Here is a 20,331-nt window from a genome sequence, read left to right as displayed (position 1 = left end):
ATTTAAGCTTCCAAGAGCCTTAGGAAGTACAGAGGAATTGAAAAGTGGAATACAAATTGATATTGCAAACTTTTCTTTGAATTTATAAGGAGAAAATTGCTGTATTTGTAATGAATTTTGCTTGTTTTAGACTATTTTTCCCCTCGCTGTATACATGTGAGAACTAAAATAAGTTGGGTCATTTTATCAACAGCACAGAAATAAAGAGAAGATCCTAAAATCAGCTAGAGAAGTAAAACAGATCACCTATCAGGTAATAATAACTAGACTGACAGCAGGTATCTGAGTAGCAACAACCAGTGGCTGAAAACAGAGGAATAACTTGATATCCTCAAAGTATTGGGAAAAAGTTAAAATTTTCAAGATTGAGGATAGTGAAAAGACATTTTCAGATTAACAAAACTGAGAAAATTTATATTTAATGGGCCTGTATTAAAATAACTTTCAGGAAGATGGAAAATGAAAATTAACAAGCTAAACATCTAACTTGAATTAGAAAAGAACAATCTTAATCTGAAGAAAGTGGAAGGAAGTTGATAAAGGTATGAATAACAAAAATTAGTGAAATTTCAAACAACAACCAAAAGGATATTGCAAATAAATTATAGCTTCAACAGAGATTTTTAGAACCCTATAATGAACTATGAATTACTGTATGCCAAATGTCTAGACAAGATGGATAAATTTTAAGAAAAATATAACTTACCAAAACTGAGACAAGTGAAAAAATAGAAAGATGAGTAGTCCTATAAGACCAGGTTTTTATTATTTGTAGTTTTTATTAAATAAATCTAACAAAAGGTATATAAGAATTTTAGGCAGAAAAAGTATAAAATTTATTGGAAGACATTGAAGAAAACCTAATAAATAACAGAAAAACTTTGCTCATGGATAAGAAGACTCAATATAGGAAGGACACCATTTATCCCCAAATTGATTGATAGAGTCAATGCTGTTCCAAATTAGACTTTCCACAAAGGTTTTTGAGAAACTCAACAAGCTGATTCTAAAATTTATTTGAAGATTTTAGGCTCAAGAATATACAGTGTAACTCAATAAAACATTGTGACATTAGGGATAGACAAATGATAAAGGGAATCAAATAAAGAACCCAGAAGTAGACCCTCAGGTATAAGGAAAACTTGATGTATGACAGGGATGTATTATAGATCTGTGTGGAAAAAAGAAGGAACTATTCTGTTAAGTAATAGTTCCGAGATGAGATATACAATCTATATGAAAAATAATTATTGGCAAGGCACAGTGACTCATGCCTTTAGTCCTAGCACTTTGGGAGGCTAAGGCAGGAGGATCTCTTGAGGCCAGGAGTTTGAAACTACCCTGGGCAACATAGCGAGACCGCATCTCTACAAAAAATAAAAATAAAAAATTAGCCAGGCATGGTGGCATATCCTTATGGTCCTAGCTACTGGGAAGGCTGAGGAAGGAGGATTGCTTGAGTCCAGGAGTTTTAGGTTACAGTAAGATCTGATTGTACCACTACACTGCAGCCTGGGTGACAGAGCAAGACCTTGTCTTCAAAAATAAATAAACAAAAATAAATAAATATTTTAATCTCACAGCATACATACATATAACTTCATTCCTAACAGATTAGACACTTAATGTAACAGGCAAAACTTTAAATCGTTTAGATAAAGAAAACCTATTGCTTTGGAGCTCAGATATTTTTAAATAAGAGTCAAAGGGTCTATCTATAAAAGAAAAGACTGTTAAAGTGACACGCATTGAAATTAAGGACAACTGTTTATCAGAGGATACCGTTAATGTAATAGAAAGACAAACCTCAAACTGGGAAAAGACATTTTTAAGGCATACAGCCAACAAATGATTGGCATCTGAAATAAAGAACTTCTTCAAATCAGTAGAAAAATGAACATAAACACACAAAAAACAGGTACTTCCCTGAGGAAGAAATATGAATGGCTCAGGATTATATCAAAGGATGTGCAGCATCATTAGTATTTAAGAAAATGTATATCAGAAAACATGTTCCATTTTACCCCTAATTGATCAGCAAAAATTAAGAGGCCTGGTAATACCATATTTTGGTCAGGATGTAGACTTGTCACATCTCTTATAACAGCTGGTAGTAGTGAAAACTGGCAAAACTGGCACAACCAATTTGGACAAGAATGTGGCACCTTCCTGTAAAAGTTATTTCTGTATCCTGTAGCCCCACAATTTTACGCTTCGAGAATCCATATCCAGAGAAACTTTTGCACACCATGCCAGCAGATGTTTGCAATAATTTTCAAAACAACAATGTATAAACTCAAGAAAATAGCCCAGAGGAGAATGAGTAAATGCTGTCTATCCACACATTAGAGTATCATACAGCAGCGAAAATGAACAGCATAGATGACTTTCAGAAATGTAATACTGAGTGAAAAAGAGCAAACTATAGAAGACTGTAGTCAGAGTGATACTATTTTTGTAAAGCTAAAAAATAACACTAAGTGATGTCCTATTTTAGGATATACATTTGAGATGATATTTTTTAAAAGCAGGTAAATGATAAACACAAAATTCATGGTAGTGACTGAGGCTAGGGTATGTGCCATGTAGCAATATTTTAAGTTGGGTGTTATTGTTCCAGTTCATTACTTACATATATAAATATATGTTGTTTGTATATGTTGAATATTACATCGCAACAACATGAAGAGTCAGACTTCCAAGGTTCCAGTCATGACACTCTGTTCAGTAGAGGTTCAACAAAGGGCAAGGTACCTAACCTCTTCAAAGCTCAGTTTCCTCAACTGAAAAGTAGGGTGGTAACAGTACCTACACATTGAGTTGTTACGACTATTAAATGGGACACTCCACAAGGATTAAGTTAGTGCCTAGTACACTAAATTTACAGTGCAGCAAATTTAGCTTTTGTTGTCTTTTTCTTAAAGCATGAAGTGTGATGGTTTGTACTTCCCTTGGAATTAAAGTAGATAGTGTTCCTATGCAAAATGCACTTCTAAACTGATGATATGTTAGAAATGAGGTGTTGGCAAGATGAATTGAAATATGCGTGAATATTGCTTATCGATTCATTGAGAAGGGTTAGTGAGTTTAGTACAGATTTCTTACCTATGACAGACCAAACAAGAGGCCTGCTGAAGGGGGGAATGACCTTTATGGACTCCATGTCTGTGAAATTCTGGAACATTAGCAAAAGTACCCCATCGTTTCTTTTTTTTTTTATTTTCTTTTCTTTTTTAAATTTTGAGACAGGGTCTCGCTCCGTCACCCAGGTTGGAGTGCAGTGGTGCAGTCATGGCTCACTGCACTCTTGACCTCCCAGTCTCAAGTGATCCTGCCACCTCAGCCTCCCAGGTAGCTAGGACTACAGGTGCATGCCACTACGCCCGGCTAATTTTTGTATTTTTTGTAGAAACAGGGTTTCGCCATGTTGCCCAGGCTGATCTTGAACTCCCGGGCTCAAGCGATCTTCCCATTCCAAGTGCTGGGATTACAGGCATCATTCACTGTACCCAGCCTATGTTGTTTCTTGCCTGCAGTGAGAGAACACTGGAGAAAGGCAGTTTTTCAAAAGTTTGTCACAAGTTGGTATACCGTCGAGTCAAGACATCTCCCAAACTGTGCTCTTGACATAGAGGTAATCACAATTACAGCAGTTATGCTTTAGGCTTAATAACCCCAGAAAACATTTTAGAAAGCTTGTTGTTCCAGTATACAATTTAGAATGTCATACATATTCTGTAGTAAGTAGAATTTTGCCAGGGTTTTTGAAACAGTTGTTTTGGAATTAGGATGAGAACATTTAAAATTTGGTTGGCTTGGAAATGATTTGACCATACACGTTGAGAATCACTAACTGGATTCCTCGGTAAATGCCATTAGTGATGCGAAAGCAGGTGTCCGTATAAAGTGAGTGATTCTTGAGCTCTTTACCCAAAGTTTAGGACACTATAAACATTTTTCACATGTGTTGTCAGAGGACACAGTCACTATGAACAGTGTTACAGTAGCTATTACCACTTGGTGAATTAATAGGGAATGTGAAAATGAGTAAATTTTCCCATAATGTCCCAGAGTTTGGGTCATATTCCCATGCATTTTCATTTTACTCTTCAGTGTACCTGTGAAGCAGAGAAAAGGCTGGCTATTTATGGGGTGGTCTGTGTCTTACAAAGTTAAATAGATGTGAAATGATATTTTTAACGTCAAATAATGAGTCAGTCCAGACTTCCTTTATGTGATGGCAATTCCCTGATAAGAGATATTTGAGCTAATTCCATATTTAAGTGCTTTACAGAGGATGGCAAACAGAAATGGTGCTTGTCATGCACTAAATATAATTATCCTAACATCTTTTAGGAGAGGTATTTTCTTCTTTCAAGAAGGCACGTGACAAGTGAGGTTAGACATCCTTCTGGGAAACTCCAAATTCCCAAACCTTTCAAAGTATTTCCCTGCATCAAGGTGTGTTACAGAAAAGTCCTCTAATTCAAGACTAAAGGTTTTTATAAGACCCATTCATCATGTTGTGAAGTTATTCGTATGGGAATTAGGACCAGAAGAAAGCAAAGTTGAGAATATTTGAGAATAACACCTGAGGATAAAATCGCAGTCACCTTCTGACTTTCGATTTAATAGCTATGAAGTTAACCAATGATTACTTTAAAAGCAGGAAGTATTTTGTAAGCAGTGCCATTAATGCTAAGTAGATGTTTGTTGTAAAATAACCGAGATGATTTTTTAAATTTAAAATTACGTGACATGAAGCAACCACCCTTCTCCAGGAGACTAGTCTGTTATAAAAATAGCAATCTTCAAAACATTTTTTGATTAACAAGTTTTGCTTGAATGAGTTTTATATTATGTATTCCCTGTAGTTCTAGATTATATCCACATACTATATATACACATAATACATACATACGTATTTATGTAGACATATATGTATGCCTACATAAATGTTTTTTCTTTGAGACAGGTTCTCACTTTGTAACCCAGGCTGGAGTGCAGTGGTGTGAACATGGCTCACTGCAGCCTTGACTTCCTGGGCTCAAACCACCCTTCCACCTCAGTCTCCAGAGTAGCTGAGACTACAGATGCGCACCACCACGCCCAGCTAATTTTTTGGTACATTTTGTAGAGATGGGGTTTCTCTATGTTGCCCAGGCTGTTCTCCAACTACTGAGCTCAAGCGATCCTCCTGCCTTGGCCTCCCAAAGTGCTGGGATTATAGGTAATGAGCCACTGTGCCCAGCCTGGATTATATTTGAAGCTGTACCCCACATGTAACTAATATAGTACATAATCTGTTCTTTTAAATTTTAGTTTTAATATATGTATATATAGCCAATAGGAGAAGAGGTATGAATAATAGCTATAACAGTAACACAAGTAATAACAATAATTATTAAGTTTAAACTAAGTCAAAGATTGCGCCAAGTGCTTGATCAATATCTTTTCATTGAATCATCACAGAATCCCTATAAGGTAGATACTGTTATATCTCAGAATTGCAGATGAGAAAACTGAGGTGCATAAAATGTAAGTAATTTATCCAGAGGCTCACATCTGGTAAGTGTTAGAGCAGGGATTTGTACAGAAGCAGTTGTTGCAATCTTGCCTCCTGACTGAGTATCATTACTTTAAAAACATACTGGAGTCAATTAGCTGCGCATGGTGGTGCGCATCTGTAGTCCCAGCTACTCAGGAGGCTGAGGCAGGAGAATCATTTGCATCTGGGAGGCGGAGTTTGCAGTGAGCTGAGATTGCGCCACTGCACTCCAGTCTGGCGACAGAGCAAGGCTTCGTTTCAAAATGTATATGTAGGAGTCATGATGTATTCCTGTTTTCAGGGTTTGTACACTAGGACTGCAAGGTAACCCTGCCTTAAATGAAACCCTCATTGTTCTTTAAGGAACACAAGAGTTCTTATCTTGAATTTCAGTGCTAAAGTGAAGTTCTGGAATAAATATAGCCCTTCAGTAGGGCACAGCCAATTTCATTTCTCCCAGAATTGGAGTCATTTTTCACACAAGGTCTTGCCCTTTTGGTTATTAATCCTGAAACTCTGGCTTTAAAAATCTCAATTAAATGTGCATGCAATCCTTCTAAAATACACAATTGGTATTTCCTATGGATATAAGCTTCTTTAAGAAATGGTGTTTGCTTATTTAACATTTTCCCTTTAATTTTCCAGGGTGTACAGCTGCACCTTGTCCGCCTGAGCTTGCATTTGAAATTGACTTTCGAGCCCAGGCTCCCTTTCACAAGGCCCTTTCTTCCTATGCCAATTAGATAACATCACACTGTGGGAATTTTCTGAAGTGGGCCCCCTGAAACAAGGGAGCCTGCCTTTCAGATTGTGTCTGATCTACAGACTTTGTTATTTTATCAAATGACTTCCAGTTACCTGCATGGTCTGGAGCTTGTTCTGAGTTTGTTGATCATTGAGTTATTTTGTCCCTAAGAGAGCGCAGGCCTTTTGTTCCCAGTGAAGATTAGGTTGGAGGAGAGTGTGGAGAAGCTGTGAAGTTCATCAGACTGAGTATGGTGGACTGAGTTCTCTTTCATTCTCATACTAACAAACTTTCAGGCAAAAGCTAGAGGTTATAAAAAAAGAAGTGCTTTGAAAATTCAACCTGCCTAACCACTGTCAGGATCACCTTTTTGAAATTGTTCTTCACATGTTGTTTATCTGCTCAAATATGAACACACAGTCTTAGTATTTATTCATTTTAACTCCAAAAGGTAATGTACTGTGCAGTTCTTTGTCTTGCTTTTTTTCCACTGATTATATTTCCACATCTGTACATGATTTCCTCATTCCTTTTTGTTACTACCTAATGTACTACTGGGTAGGATATACTATAATTTATTTAACCTGTCCCTTGTTGGACATCTAGGTGTTTCCAAATGTTTGCAATTACAAACAATTGCTTCATTAATTATTCTTGTGTATGTGTCATTTTGCATGTGTTTAGCTTTTTCAAACTGGAAATGCAAGGTCAAAGGGTATATACATTTGTAATTTGGGTAGATACTGGCAAATTGTCTTCCAGAATGTCATGGTTTTTAAAACCCTCATCTCTTACTACTCACCAATCAGAATGGTAAGCTTCAGCTACAATGAAGCCCTAATTAGTGGCCCTGGAAAACATGATGTAGATTTTTACCCCTACACTCATTTTCTGAAAATATTCTTTCGTTCCATTCCATTCTATACCTTCTATCCTACCCACCCCTAAGCATGTGCAGGTGAACACACATACATACACACATGTAACTCCCCCTATGGGCTCACACCTTCACAGTTCCTGTTGCTTTTCTTTTCTGAATTTTTGTGGTGTATTCACACTGTACTCACTTTGACAATCTTATACTACTTGCAATAATGATTTCTTTGGCAATGTCTTTTTCTCGTTGTGAGTTCCTGCTTGATGACTAGGCCAGTGTTTTGCATGTTGTGGGATTTTTTTTCCTAATGATTAGAGGAAAATAGATTTATTCTTCTGGTAAAAATAATACTTATTATGAGAAAAAATCAACTGGTAAATAAAAGTGCTCAGATATGTAAACCTTCCCTCAAATACTGCCATCCAGGAATAATTACTCTTAGTGTTTCATTACACATCCTTTCAGCCATCTCTTTATGAATGTATGTACATATATATCCCCAGATAGGTGTGCACAGTTTTACACGTGACCTTATACTATTCTGACTATTGGGTACCTTGCTTTTCTTAGACCTTTCCCCATGTCGGCTGGTGTGGTTTTATATAATTCTTAATGGCTATATGGTAGCTGTTTCTATGCACATACCATAGTTCAACCAGTGCTGAACTGATTGACATTTGTGGTTTATAGTTTTTTGTCTGAGTGAATACAACTTTTGGCATTAGTGCCTAACTCTTTAGATAAGTTAAAGTCTTAGAAATGAAAGAACTGTTTTAAAGTGTGGATACACAGATTGTGAGATCTAAATAAGTAATTATGAAAGAGAAGAAAGTTTACAGAAATGTTGAGCCTTTTTCTTAGGAAGCTGTCAAATTCAAATTGGTATTCATAGCCTCCGGTACCAACCACTCAGCCATCAAAAAGTGTTGAGAAATCTTACACATATATAAAAGAAAAAAAATGTTAAAGAGATAGTCTAAGAGAAATAACCTTTCCATGTATTCATGAATGTGCAAAGAATCATTGCTTTCTTCCTTTATCCTGCTGGGCCCTAACTATCTTTCTCTTTCCCCAAATTATTTTGGAACGCTTGTGTAATTTAGAATATAAAAGCATTTTCCCTCCTACTAAGGTACAAAGAAGGGCAATGTTTTCTGTTTCTTGGAGAATAGTTTGCTTAGGAAAATACACAGTCTAATGAAAGGGTCCGCAGCTGTGGGCTATTTTGAAGCCTACTTGAAAACATTTTGATGTGTTTATTTCTTTACTACTCTATTTCAGAAAAGATTCGAGATGGCTTACAAAGATGCAAACAGTGTAGCTGGGTAAAATTTATTTGATAAATGCAAAAAGGAAGGTAAAGGAACATAAGGATAAGAAAGTAAATAGAAAGCCAGGAGTGAGATTAGTTTACGAAATACACATGAAACATGAAATTGTCATCATCAGCAGTCCAGAATGCTTGAATATGGGTGATTTTTTCTGGTGCAGCCAAAATATTAAGTTCAGTATACTTGCTCAAGGTAGACCTCAGATGTGACCCTGAGCCAGTGTGACAGGGATGTAGCCTCATCATCCCTGTGATTGGAACACAAACCTACACAGAAGGAGTCCAAATAGTCCTCATATTGAATCCAAAGAGAAAATTCACCCAGAGAAGAGATTTTTTTTTTTTTTTTTTTTTTTTTTTGAGACGGATTCTCGCTCTGTCGCCCAGGCTGGAGTGCAGTGGTGCAATCTCGGCTCACTACAAGCTCCGCCTCCCAGGTTCATGCCATTCTCCTGCCTCAGCCTCCCGAGTAGCTGGGACTACAGGTGCCCACCACCACACAGACTAATTTTTTTTGTATTTTTAGTAGAGACGGGGTTTCACCGTGTTAGCCAGGAAGGTCTCAATCTCCTTACCTCATAATCTGCCCGCCTTGGCCTCCCAAAGTGCTGGGATTACAGGCGTGAGCCACCGCACCTGGCTGAGAAGAGATTTTTAAACAGTATAAATTCATGGTCCCAGAATGTCATAGCTGGAAGAATCTTGAAGGGCTGGCTTGTACAGCCTTCTCAGAATTTGTGAGACCTTGTAGTTGTGCATTGAAATGGGCTCTGGAGAGTGCAGAATCTGCATATGACTTTTATCTTTAATCAGTCACTGAACCTTTCCAATCCAGTTTCCTTGTATACCCAACAGGAATACGGATTGGTTTTTACCTCATAAGATCATGCAAGGGAGGGAAATGCAAATGAAAATCACAACAGGATACTACCTCATACCCGCTAGGATGGCACTAATAAAAAAGATGGACAAAAGCAAGTGTTGCTGAGGATGTGGAAGAACTGGAACCCTCCCATGCTGGTGGGAGTATAAAATGGTGCAGCCACTTTGGAAGACAGTCTGGCATTTCCTCAGAAGGTTAGCATATGGCCCAGAAATTCTACTTCTAGGTACAAATGGAAGAGAAATGAGAAGGTTATGTCCATTAAAAAAAAAAAAGTGTACATGAATGTTCAAGGCAGTATTATCCATAGTAGCCCAAAGTGGACACAACCCAACTGTCATCAACTAATGAATGGAAAGAAAGACCCATATTGGATGATTCCGTTTATGTGAAATACCCAAAACAGGCAAATCCATAGAGATAGAAGTAGATTAATGGTTGCCTAGGGCTGGTGGGTAGGGGGAAATTGGGGCATAACTGCTAATGGGGATAGGAGTTTCTTTTTGGGGTGACAGCAATGTTCTAAAATTGATTGTGGTGATGGTTGCACAATTCTGTGAATATACTAACAATTGACATTCCCATTTTACATAGTTGAGTTTTACGGTGGATTATCTCTCAATAAAAATGTATATATTTTATTTTAATTTTTTTGTTTTTATTTTTTTTGAGACAGAGTCTTGCTCGGTTGCCCAGGCTGGAGTGCAGTGGCATGATCTCGGCCCCCTGCAGCCTCTGCCTCCCAGGTTCAAGCAATTAATGTGTCCCAGCCTCCAGAGTAGCTGGGACTATAGGTGCACGCCACCATGCCTGGCTAATTTTTGTATGTTTAGTAGAGATGGGGTTTCACCATGTTGGCCAGTCTGGTCTTGAACTCTTGGCCTCAAGTGATCCACCTGCCTCATCCTCCCAAAGTGCTGGGATTACAGGTGTGAGCCACAGCGCCTGGCCAATGTATATATTTTTTAAAAACATAGCACAGTTCTTAGTGTAGTGCAGTAAGTAGTATACCAAGTAAGCTCTCAAATGTAGGCTTTTTCTTTTTCTTTTTATTATACTTTAAGTTCTGGGATACATGTACAGAACGTGCAGATTTGTTACATAGGTATACATGTGCCATGGTGGTTTGCTGCACCCATCAACCCATCATCTACATTAGGTATTTCTCCTAATGCTATCCCTCCCCTTGCCCCTAACCCCCGACAAGCCCTGGTGTGTGATGTTCCCCTCCCTGTGTCCAAGTGTTCTCATTGTTCAACTCCCACTTATGAGTGAGAACCTGCAGTGTTTGGTTTTCTGTTCCTGTGTTAGTTTGCTGAGAATGATGGTTTCCAGCTTCATCTGTGTCGCTGCAAAGGACATGAACTCATTCCTTTTTATGGCTGCATAGTATTCCATGGTGTATATGTGCCACATTTTCTTTAACCAGTCTGTCATTGATGGGCATTTGGGTTGGTTCCAAGTCTTTGCTATTGTGAATAGTGCCACAATAAACATACATGTGCATGTGTCTTTATAGTAGTATGATTTATAATCCTTTGGGTATATACCCAGTAATGGGATTGCTGGGTCAAATTGTGTTTCTGGTTCTAGATCCTTGAGGAATCACCACACTGTCTTCCACAATGCTTGAACTAATTTACACTCCCACCAACAGTGTAAAAGAGTTCCTACTTCTCCACATCCTCTCCAGCATTAAGTTTTTTGTAGATTCTGGATATTAGCCCTTTGTCAGATGGATAGATTGCAAAAATTTTCTCCCATTCTGTAGGTTGCCTATTCACTCTGATGCTAGTTTCTTTTCCCATGCAGAAGCTCTTTAGTTTAATTAGACAAATGAAAAGGCTGAGTGAGGTGACTCACACCTGTAATCCCTACACTTTGGGAGGCCGTGGCAGGAGGATCGCTTGAGCCCAGGAGTTCGAGACCAGCCTGGGTAACATAGCCCAGGCCTCATCTTTAAAACTAACTAACTAAATAAATAAATAAATGAAGACACTGAGGCTCAGAGAGGTAAAATGACGTATCCTGATCATGTGGTTACCTTTGGCTAAACTAGAACCCAGATCCCCTGCAGTCTAAATCTGCACGCTCTCCCCCAGCAGCACAGTTACAAAGGCTGGCAAGGCATCTACTTTTTTTTCGAATGTGACCCTCCATCGTTTTGACTTTGATTGGCCTTCCTTTGGTCTTGAGCCTTTCTGCTGTAATGATTTTCAAGTTTCCCAATTGTGAGTGCAATATAAACCTTGAAATAGTCTGCAAAACTTGTAATTAGCCATGATAAACTGTATGAAAAATTGATTCGTGGCCCTGCCTGCTATTGACTTTTGAGATACTTATTAGCCCAGCTAAGAATTACCCAGGCATTTTGCTTTTTTCCTTTTTTTCCCCATGTGGCCTGTCTTTGGCCCTTTGACTTTCAAATTGTTCCACTTGAAATAGGCTGGACAGATGGGTCTCCATTTCAAAAGCAATGGAGACTCTTGTCTCTTGAGTTTTCTCAGTAGCAAGCCTGGCATAACTTTTTGAAATTGCATTGTTGCTATGAAGTGAAATTTGGGTCTCCTATTATGGTTTTTTTCTGGTATGTTTTTGTTATGCTGCTAAAAACATGCTTTTTTGTTCACTGCACATGGGCATTGCCAAATTATTGTGACATGAAGAAATTCTGAAGGTCAGTATCAACCTGGTATTCTCAATTCAGTGAAACTGACAAGATTTTGTATAACTTGAATTATATTAATTTTCTCTAAACTGGTGTTAAGAAGTGTATGAATTGTCACAACCTGAAAAACATGTATGTTTAACTTACATTGTCAAAAGTTTGGTCCCCTATAGGTACAGCTGAGGTTATTGACAAATACTATGGTAAAATTTAAGCTTTCTGATAATTAGATGTCAGGAATACCCAGGTTTCCAGAATAGCTTTCTTTTCTTAGAAGTAGTTAGGGAATGAAGCCATAGGACTCTTCTTGGGACCATAAAAGTAGCCACTTGGTAATAAACATTAATAAAAAGCTAACAAAGAAGTTAACTCTTCAACCTAACAACCCCTTTTGTGTTTGGATTGGTGATTTCGCTCTCTAGATGTTAAGAAACACTCTGATGTATTAGTTCACTATTGATGATCATTATCTATTGCTGCATAATGAATCACCCCATCACTTATTGGCTTAGCTCAGCAACAGCCATTTTATTATTGTCTCTCTTGGTTCTGGGGCTTGGCTGGGCTGAGCTGGGCAGCCTTTGCATGGGCTCTCTCATGGCGTTGTACCTGTGAGTGACTGGTGGCTTCTCAAGGCTTGCCACTCACATGGCTGGAGGCAATTGTAGATAGCCATTTGCTGGGACCTCAACTGAGATGTCAGCTGGACACCTACACCTGACCTCTCCACATGATCTCTCCTCCTTACAGTGTAGTCACTGGATTCCAAGAGTGAGCTTCCTAAGGAGACCAGGCAATGCTCTATGGCCTGGTATGACGGAGCCTTGGAAGCCACGTAGCTCCACTTCTGGTGTTGTTACAGGCTTCGCCAGATTGGCGGGGAGGGAACAATAGGTTCTACCCATCAGTAGTAGAGTGTCAATGATATTAATACATTGTTGGAAGAGTGTGTGAGATGGGATTTTTTTTTTATTATTTTGAAAAACACAATCTTATGCCGTCACTTTTTGACTTAAAGGCAATGTTAGGAAGAGGAGACAAGAAAAGAAAGGAGGAAAGGAGCCCCAGAGTTTGGTAGCAGAGTGACAACAGTCAGCTGCAGATGGCAAAAATGGGAGCAGAAAATAAAAGCAGGGGATAGCACAGTTCAGATGGAGGTGTGGGAGAGGCAGGACAAGCAGCCCCTGTCAATAGGGTGTCACGGATGCTTATTGGGCTGCACTTGACATTGTGGCTTTGACCGTATCCCAGTCAGGCATACGTGGTGCAATAACTGATCACGTTCAGCATCTGGGAGGCAGTGGGGCCGCTCTTTTGTTGCTGTAAGAAGCTGGCCAGGGTAGCATATGGTAAAGTGCAATAGGTATAAAACCACCTTGTGATACGGATTTCTCATCTTCCTTTAGAGGGAAGTAAAGGACGCTAGTATAAAATGATTGTGCTGACCTTGAAGGAGAATATGGGCACTTGCAGTTGTCTTCTCTCACCCCCTTCCCATGCAACAGATATTTGATTATTAAAAGTACATGTGCACTTGATTTTAAAAATCCTCAAATATTTCTTGGGTGCCGAAAATATGCTAGGCACTAGCTAGGCGCTATTCCAGATTGCATATTTGACTAAAGAAGAATGATAAAGAAGAGTAAATCTAGTGATTACTTAGTATTGTTTTACACAGTTGTTTCACTTACCCCATATGATTTCTAAGAAAGGGTTAGTGTTCGTTTGCTATGAGGCTTCTAGAAAATCATTTAGCTTCTATTAGACTCTGTTTTACAGACTCTATCTGTAATACCAATTTGTGTGGCTCTTGTAAAATTAAAAGCACACAGGAAGTATTTAATAACTGCTAAATATTTTTACCTTTTAGTTCCTTTAAAGGCTGTGATTCAGTCAAATGTTCTATAACAATCACATGATATACTTGGATAAATTCAAGCATGTAATAGTTGATTCCGTTTATTCCACTAGTCTTCTTCGTCTTCTTTTTTTTTTTTTTGTTTTTGAGACAGGATTTTGCTCTGTCACGCAGGCTGGAATGCAGTGGCATGATCATAGCTCACTGAAGCGTGCACTCCTGGCCTCAAGGGATCCTCCCACCTGAGCCTTCTGAGTAACTGGGACTACAGGCATGCACCATCATGCACGGCTAATTATGTGTGTGGGATGGGGTGTGGGGGGAGATGAGGTCTGGCTGTGTTGCTCAGGTGTGTCTCAATCTCCTTGCCTCAAGCCATTCTCCTGCCTCATCCTCCCAAAGTACTGGGATTACAGGTGTGAACCACCATGCCCAGCCATTCTACTAGTCTCAGTTGAACACCTGGAATGGGCCAGTTAGTGAGCCAGGTGCTGGGGATTCAGGGATGAGCAAGTCAGATAAAGTCCTCCCCTGTAGAACCTAAATGAGGTGGGCTCCTCCATGAAAAGGTGTGGCAATGCCTAAGACTTGGTAAAATGGATACATGAACAAATACAGTCAACTGTGCATTTGCACAAGGGGCACTTTACATACCACATCTGTCTGAAATATTAAAGGATTTGAGTGACTAAAAAACAGCCATGATGTAGTAGAACTCTGGCATTTTCAAAGCAGTCATCTCCAAGTGTGGTGTATTGCCTGAATTGTTTCAGAGTGTTGGTAAAAGTGATATACTTGGTGGTACTTGCCAACTTTAACCCTGGGTTGTGCTAGGAAATGAAGTTTAGTAGGACAAGGACCCATAGTAGTATGTGTTAAGAAAGGGCCATAGAACAGTAAATTAATAGCGTTTTCTTCTCTCCCCTATAGTATTTTGGGCACGTTTATACCCATTGAAAGGCAGGTTTTTTTTTCTATGCTTATTGATTTAGCCTATCTATTTATAACAGTATAATTCAGAATATAAATATGGAACAAGTTTCATAAGGAAGTTTATCTTTAACTCAGACATTATATCATTAATACTTCAAATCTCATTATACCATTATGACCTGAATGCTACATTTTTCTTCCTGTATGGAGAGCTTAGGGAAAAATTGTGGCCTGATGTCTTCATCCATTCACTTATCATAGAGTACATAATGATCTCAAATATCCAAAAATGGTTATATTCAGCTGCATATTTCTAAGAAAATAGGTAGGTCCACAGCAGGTTCTTAAATTCCACATACTTGGGTGTAGGACACAGGGATTCATTCCCTGAGAGTTTTTGAAGCTGAGGAGACACCTGGGTTTTGTTTTTCCAGGGTAGAATTCAGTACAAATCAGCAATTGTTGAACACATACTAAGTTGTGGGTACTGGACTGTTTCACCCACATGATCTCATTTATCTGCATAATAACCTGATGAGGTAGGTATTATCACCGTGTGTTACAGGTGAAGAGACTGAGACTTCGTGGTTAAGTCATGATGACTAGCAAGCAGTCAGGTTGGAACTTAGTGTCAAAGTCTCATGCAGAGGCCTTTTGTTGGTAAACACTGTGCTGTACTGTCACCCAGTGGAAGGATTCTAATCACATCCTTGTTCTAGTCTTTATTTTCTAAATTCTCTGTAATAAACACGAATCAATTTTAAATTGAAAAAAAAATCTCAGCCAATATAACTTAAAATAGGTAATGCAGTTAGATTGCAAAAACATATATTTGTGTGTGTGGTATGAAAATATAAAACTACATGAACCTGAACACTGTAACCCTATGTTTAGCAATTATATAGATATTATAATTAATGCTTTTTAAAATGCAATAGGCATATGGATATTAAGGTTTCTGCTTCAGTTATTTTTCTTGGGAAAATAACACCTATTGATTTAAGATCCTTAGTCCCAGATTCTAAATTGATTTTCTTATTTCATTGTCAACATAATTGGGGATTTGTCTTTCAACAAAAGAAAAGCAAAGCATAGTCGTCATCTTGGTAGACATTTATGTATATAGGAAGGTCATAGGTGATTTCTGAGGAAGTTTGGTGATTAAAGAAAGAGATACCCTGTAGTCCCAGCTACCCGGGAGGCTGAAGCAGGATAATGGCGTGAACCCAGGAGGCGGAGCTTGCAGTGAGCTGAGATCGCGCCACTGCACTCCAGCCTGGGCGACAGAGCAAGACTCCGTCTTAAAAAAAAAAAAAAAAAAAAAGAAAGAGATACACGAGTGGCTAGCAGATTCAGCGCAGGCTTTTGATGATAGTGGGGATTTGAGTGTTCTTTTCTTCCTTTTTTTCCCCTTCAATGCCACAATTTTATTTGTGATTGAAGGGGAAAAAAAGTGTTCTGGGAGACTAATTGTAGATCATTGAATCAGAGAATTGAAGATTGTTCTTTAGACCTCTTTGGAGGTCTTTCCTTAGTGAGTGTTGGGTAGAACTCAGAAATCTGCATTTTTAACACATGACCTAGGTGAATTTTATGATCAAGCATATTTGAGAACTGGGCTAGAATAAAGCTTGCATGAAAAAATGCAGTAGGAAGTTAGGTTGTAAAGCTGGATCGAGTCCAGAGTGTGGAAGCCTTAGATCTTAAGCCATGGGGTTGGGATGCGGTGCTGTGAGCTGTAAGGAGCCCATGACAGGTGCCTTGTAGGCAGAGAAGCAACTGTAGAAGTTGGCTCAGGAGTGAACAGTAGAGGACAGTTTGAAGGAGGAGATCAGGCTGGAAGAAGCTGTTAAAGACAGCTAGGCCTGAGGTGATGGGGGTCTGTACTAGAACTGTGGCAGAGGCATAGGACAGGGGACAAGTGACATTGAAGTGCTAGACTTGGCATAGCCTAGTAAGTGATTGGACATGGAAGGCAAAACAGAAGGGGGAAGACAACTGGAAGGATTTGAGGCAGTATGAATAGGAGGATGGTAGTACCTTTTCTGAAACTGGTGGGAACTGGAGGGGGCCTGGTTTGCAGGGAAGATCAGGAGTTCATTAGGACGCATTTGAGTTGGAAGTTCCATTGGGATTTCCGTTTGAAGGTGTCTTCTCAATGGAGGTGATTGTGGAAGCCATGTAATAAGATTGCCACAGAGGACATGACAGAGAGAACAAAGGAGCCCTGGGGAGTCCTGGGGGAACAGTCACAGGAACAAGTGGAGGATGCAGAGAACTATGAGAGGAGGAAAAGAAAGTGCTGTCCCAGGAACCAGGAAGGTGAAGGTGGTCAGCAGTTCTGAATGCTGCAGAGAGGTGAAGGAAAATGAAGACTCACAAAAGGACATTGGATTTAGCTTGTTTTTCATAGTAAGAGAAAAAGTTGGACAGTCAGAATTAATGAGTGAATGGATGAAGAAGTGCAAGTGGGTGATTTTTCAAAGTTTGGTTGTAAAGGGCAGGAAGACACACATAGCTTGGGATGTGCAGAGGCTTCTGAGGTCAGTGGAGACCTGTGTCTATTCAAAAGTTCAGTGTGGAGGGGGAGAAAAATATTGAAAATGCACAAAGACAACTTTTCATTTGGTGCACATTTATTGTTCATATATCAAGTACCAGGACTGTGTCGAGGCTACAGAGATAAGACTCACTCTGTAAGTAACCCAAGAGAAGAATGAAAGTTGGCAGTGTGAATTTGAGCCTGGATGACTGGGAGGGTAGTGGTCCCCACAGATCAGGGGAGGACTTGGCCTGGAAACAACCACTGAGCATCAGGATGAATGCTGGGTTGGAATGGCGCACAGCATGCTGGGGAGGGCTGGGGAGGACCCTGTGAAGGACTTGGTCCTATAGTTGTCCTGTGTAAGATATGTGGTAGTCTTCCTTCCCTAGAGGCAAGGAGGCCCATCTCAGGTGGAGGGACCAGCATGGGCAAGTACTTGCAAATGTGTTGGAGAGTAATTGTTTGTGTGATTGAAATAGAGGGAAGATATGCAGAGGTGGGCAGGAGCCAGAGCAAAAAGTGTCCCTGTGTCTTGATGAGGAGATTGGGCTTTCCCCCCACCACCCACAAATGAGGAGCTGTGATAAGAATTTCAGTAGAGACATGCAGCGACCAGTTTGCCTTTAGAGAGAGCTCTGAGGCAGCAGTGTGGCAGTGTGTTGTGGTTTAGAGGGATAAGACTGGAAGCAGGGGTCAGGTTGGTGGACTGGTAGTTGGCAGACTGTGCTGTGCAAGTGAGGATAGGTGGGAACAAAGGCAGAGCAGGCAGAGAATAGGTAGAAGAGATATTTAGGAGGCAGGGTTGACATGACTTATGGTTTGGCTGTGTCCCCACCCAAATCTCATCTTGAATTGTAGCTCCCATAATCCATGGGGACCCGTTGGGAGGTAGTTGAATCATGGGGGCGGGTTTTCCCATGCTGTTCTTGTGACAGTGAATAAGTCTCATGAGATCTGATGGTTTTATAAAGGGCAGTTCCCTTGCACATGCTCATGTGCCTGCTGCCATGTAAGATGTTGCTTTAGCTCCTCCCACGCCTTCTGCCATGATTGTGAGGCCTCCCTAGCCATGTGAAACTGTGAGTCCATTAAACCTCTTTTTCTTTATGAGTTACCCAGTCTTGGGTATTTCTTCATAGCAGTATGAGAATGGACTAGTACAGCTTAGGTCTTGAAAGGTTTTCATGGGAATGGGAGTTTGAGAAGATGGTGAAGGATAAGGAGAGCTTTATGGAAAAGCTCAGACTGACTCCCTGCTTTCTGACTTACAGACTGTTTGGAAGATGGGAGGAAACATTTCCTGGGAAAGATGCTGAACATTCTGAATGTGTTGAGCGAGAGATTCTTGCAGGGCTTCCAGGGGGAGATGCACAGGAGACCAATATGCATGTCTGCAAATCACAGGAGAGGGTGGCCTGGAGAGAGAAACATGTGTGTCCAACCACGGGAGTGACAGCTGAGAACATTGTGTGCGAAAGATTCCGTACCCTGGGAGTGCGTAGCCTGCACACAGCCTCTTAACTCAAGAACTGATTCTCTTCCGTGTTCTGAATTTTCTGAGTGCCTTTTGCCCTTCTGCTTTTAGCCATCTACAATGCGGCCATTGGACTCTTATTGGGATTAGGTAGAAAAAGAAAAAAAAATGATGGTACTCAAATATACCTAGTTTTACTAACGATGAGCAGATGTGATGAGAGGATTAGATCCTTAGATAAAGAAGCTTAGGTCCTGCAGTGTGACCTGGGTTACTTGTGAAACTCAGTTTTTCTCAATACCTGTTCTCCTCTATCTTACCATGGATTCTGAAGCTTGAATTTTTTAAACGGTATTTTATCTTTATTCACTGTGTGAGAATATACATATACAGCTATGTTATTTCTTGTTTGTTTTTAAAATCAGTGGCTGGCCCTTGTTAGGAAAATAGATGAATTAGAATACATAGTCTTTGAGAACCATTTACAGGTAAATCTGTGTTATTTATTTTGCTGCTCTAGCAGTCTTCTGTTAGTATGAAATGAATTAACAAGATAGAATTTATGGCCCTTTTTAGTATTGAATTTGATCACAGTTGAGACATTGCCCCTGAGATAAAACTCCTGTCTGGAGCATTTTTACAGTGGAGCTTCCATTATTGCTTTCCTTGAGGACTGAGAATTGTCCTGATGATGTAAGGAACAGGTGTCTGATCCCTGTGAAGATGGTGTTCTCTGTTAGCAATAGGAAAACACTGACGTTCCTACTCTGTCCTTTTGGCTGAAACAGCAGCATCTAAATCGGAGCTTGTTTAAGTGGATATGATGGCTCTAAGAGAGACCCTGACAACAATGGTTATAGATTTCAGAGTGTGGACCACATTTGGATTTTGGGGGGATCCAGTTTTGAATAAGTAAACTGAAAAAGTCATTTTTGAGACAGTAGGACAAAATTGAACGTAGACTGATATTAGATTCTAAGGAATTATTGGTGATTTTGTTCTTTGGGAAAATGATATTGTGATCATGTTTTTAAATGTCCTTATCAGAGAAGCATACTGAAGTATTTACAGGTAAAATGATACCATGTTTGGGATTTAGTTTAAAAATACTGAAGCAAAAGAGTTGGAATGTATAGATAAAATCAGATTGGCAAAATGTTGATAATGTTGAAGGTGAGTAAAAGAGGTTTGTTATCCTATTTTCACCTTATGCATTTATGAACATTTTCATTAAAAAAAAGGTAACAAAAATGAATGTAGTAGCCAAGAAGAAGAGAAAGTTGAAGGTCTGTTTTTCTCTCATTTTGACACACAACGTCAGCGTGTCACACCTGTCAGTCTTTCTGCACATAGGGTGATAATCTTTCTGCCTTTCTGACCCAATAACTGAGGAATCTGACACCACAGCTAAACAGTTTGTGTGATGACAACACTGTCCCACCAGGACTTGGGGCAGCTTTCTGGCAGTTC

General features: G+C 39.5%; 1 protein-coding gene across 8 annotated transcripts in view; it reads left to right on the top strand.

Annotated features, from left to right (window-relative positions):
- The window catches only part of STK39 (serine/threonine kinase 39), a 293,574-nt gene that overhangs the window by 135,806 nt on the left and 137,437 nt on the right, over positions 1-20,331 (top strand). The window contains exon 11 of one of the 8 annotated variants that reach the window (XM_017003816.3): positions 194-12,937. The exons of the other annotated variants lie outside the window; for them this stretch is intronic. Coding sequence (XP_016859305.1) covers positions 194-286 — 93 coding nt within the window. The 3' untranslated portion in view covers positions 287-12,937. Of the gene's footprint in view, positions 1-193; positions 12,938-20,331 lie in introns of those variants that run through there. 8 annotated transcript variants of the gene reach the window in all.

Source organism: Homo sapiens, chromosome 2 (genome assembly GCF_000001405.40).
Source record: "Homo sapiens chromosome 2, GRCh38.p14 Primary Assembly".
Taxonomy (NCBI): Eukaryota; Metazoa; Chordata; class Mammalia; order Primates; family Hominidae; genus Homo; species Homo sapiens.
The sequence above is the reverse complement of the archived record's forward strand: the minus strand, read 5'-3'. Positions and strand labels throughout refer to the sequence as shown.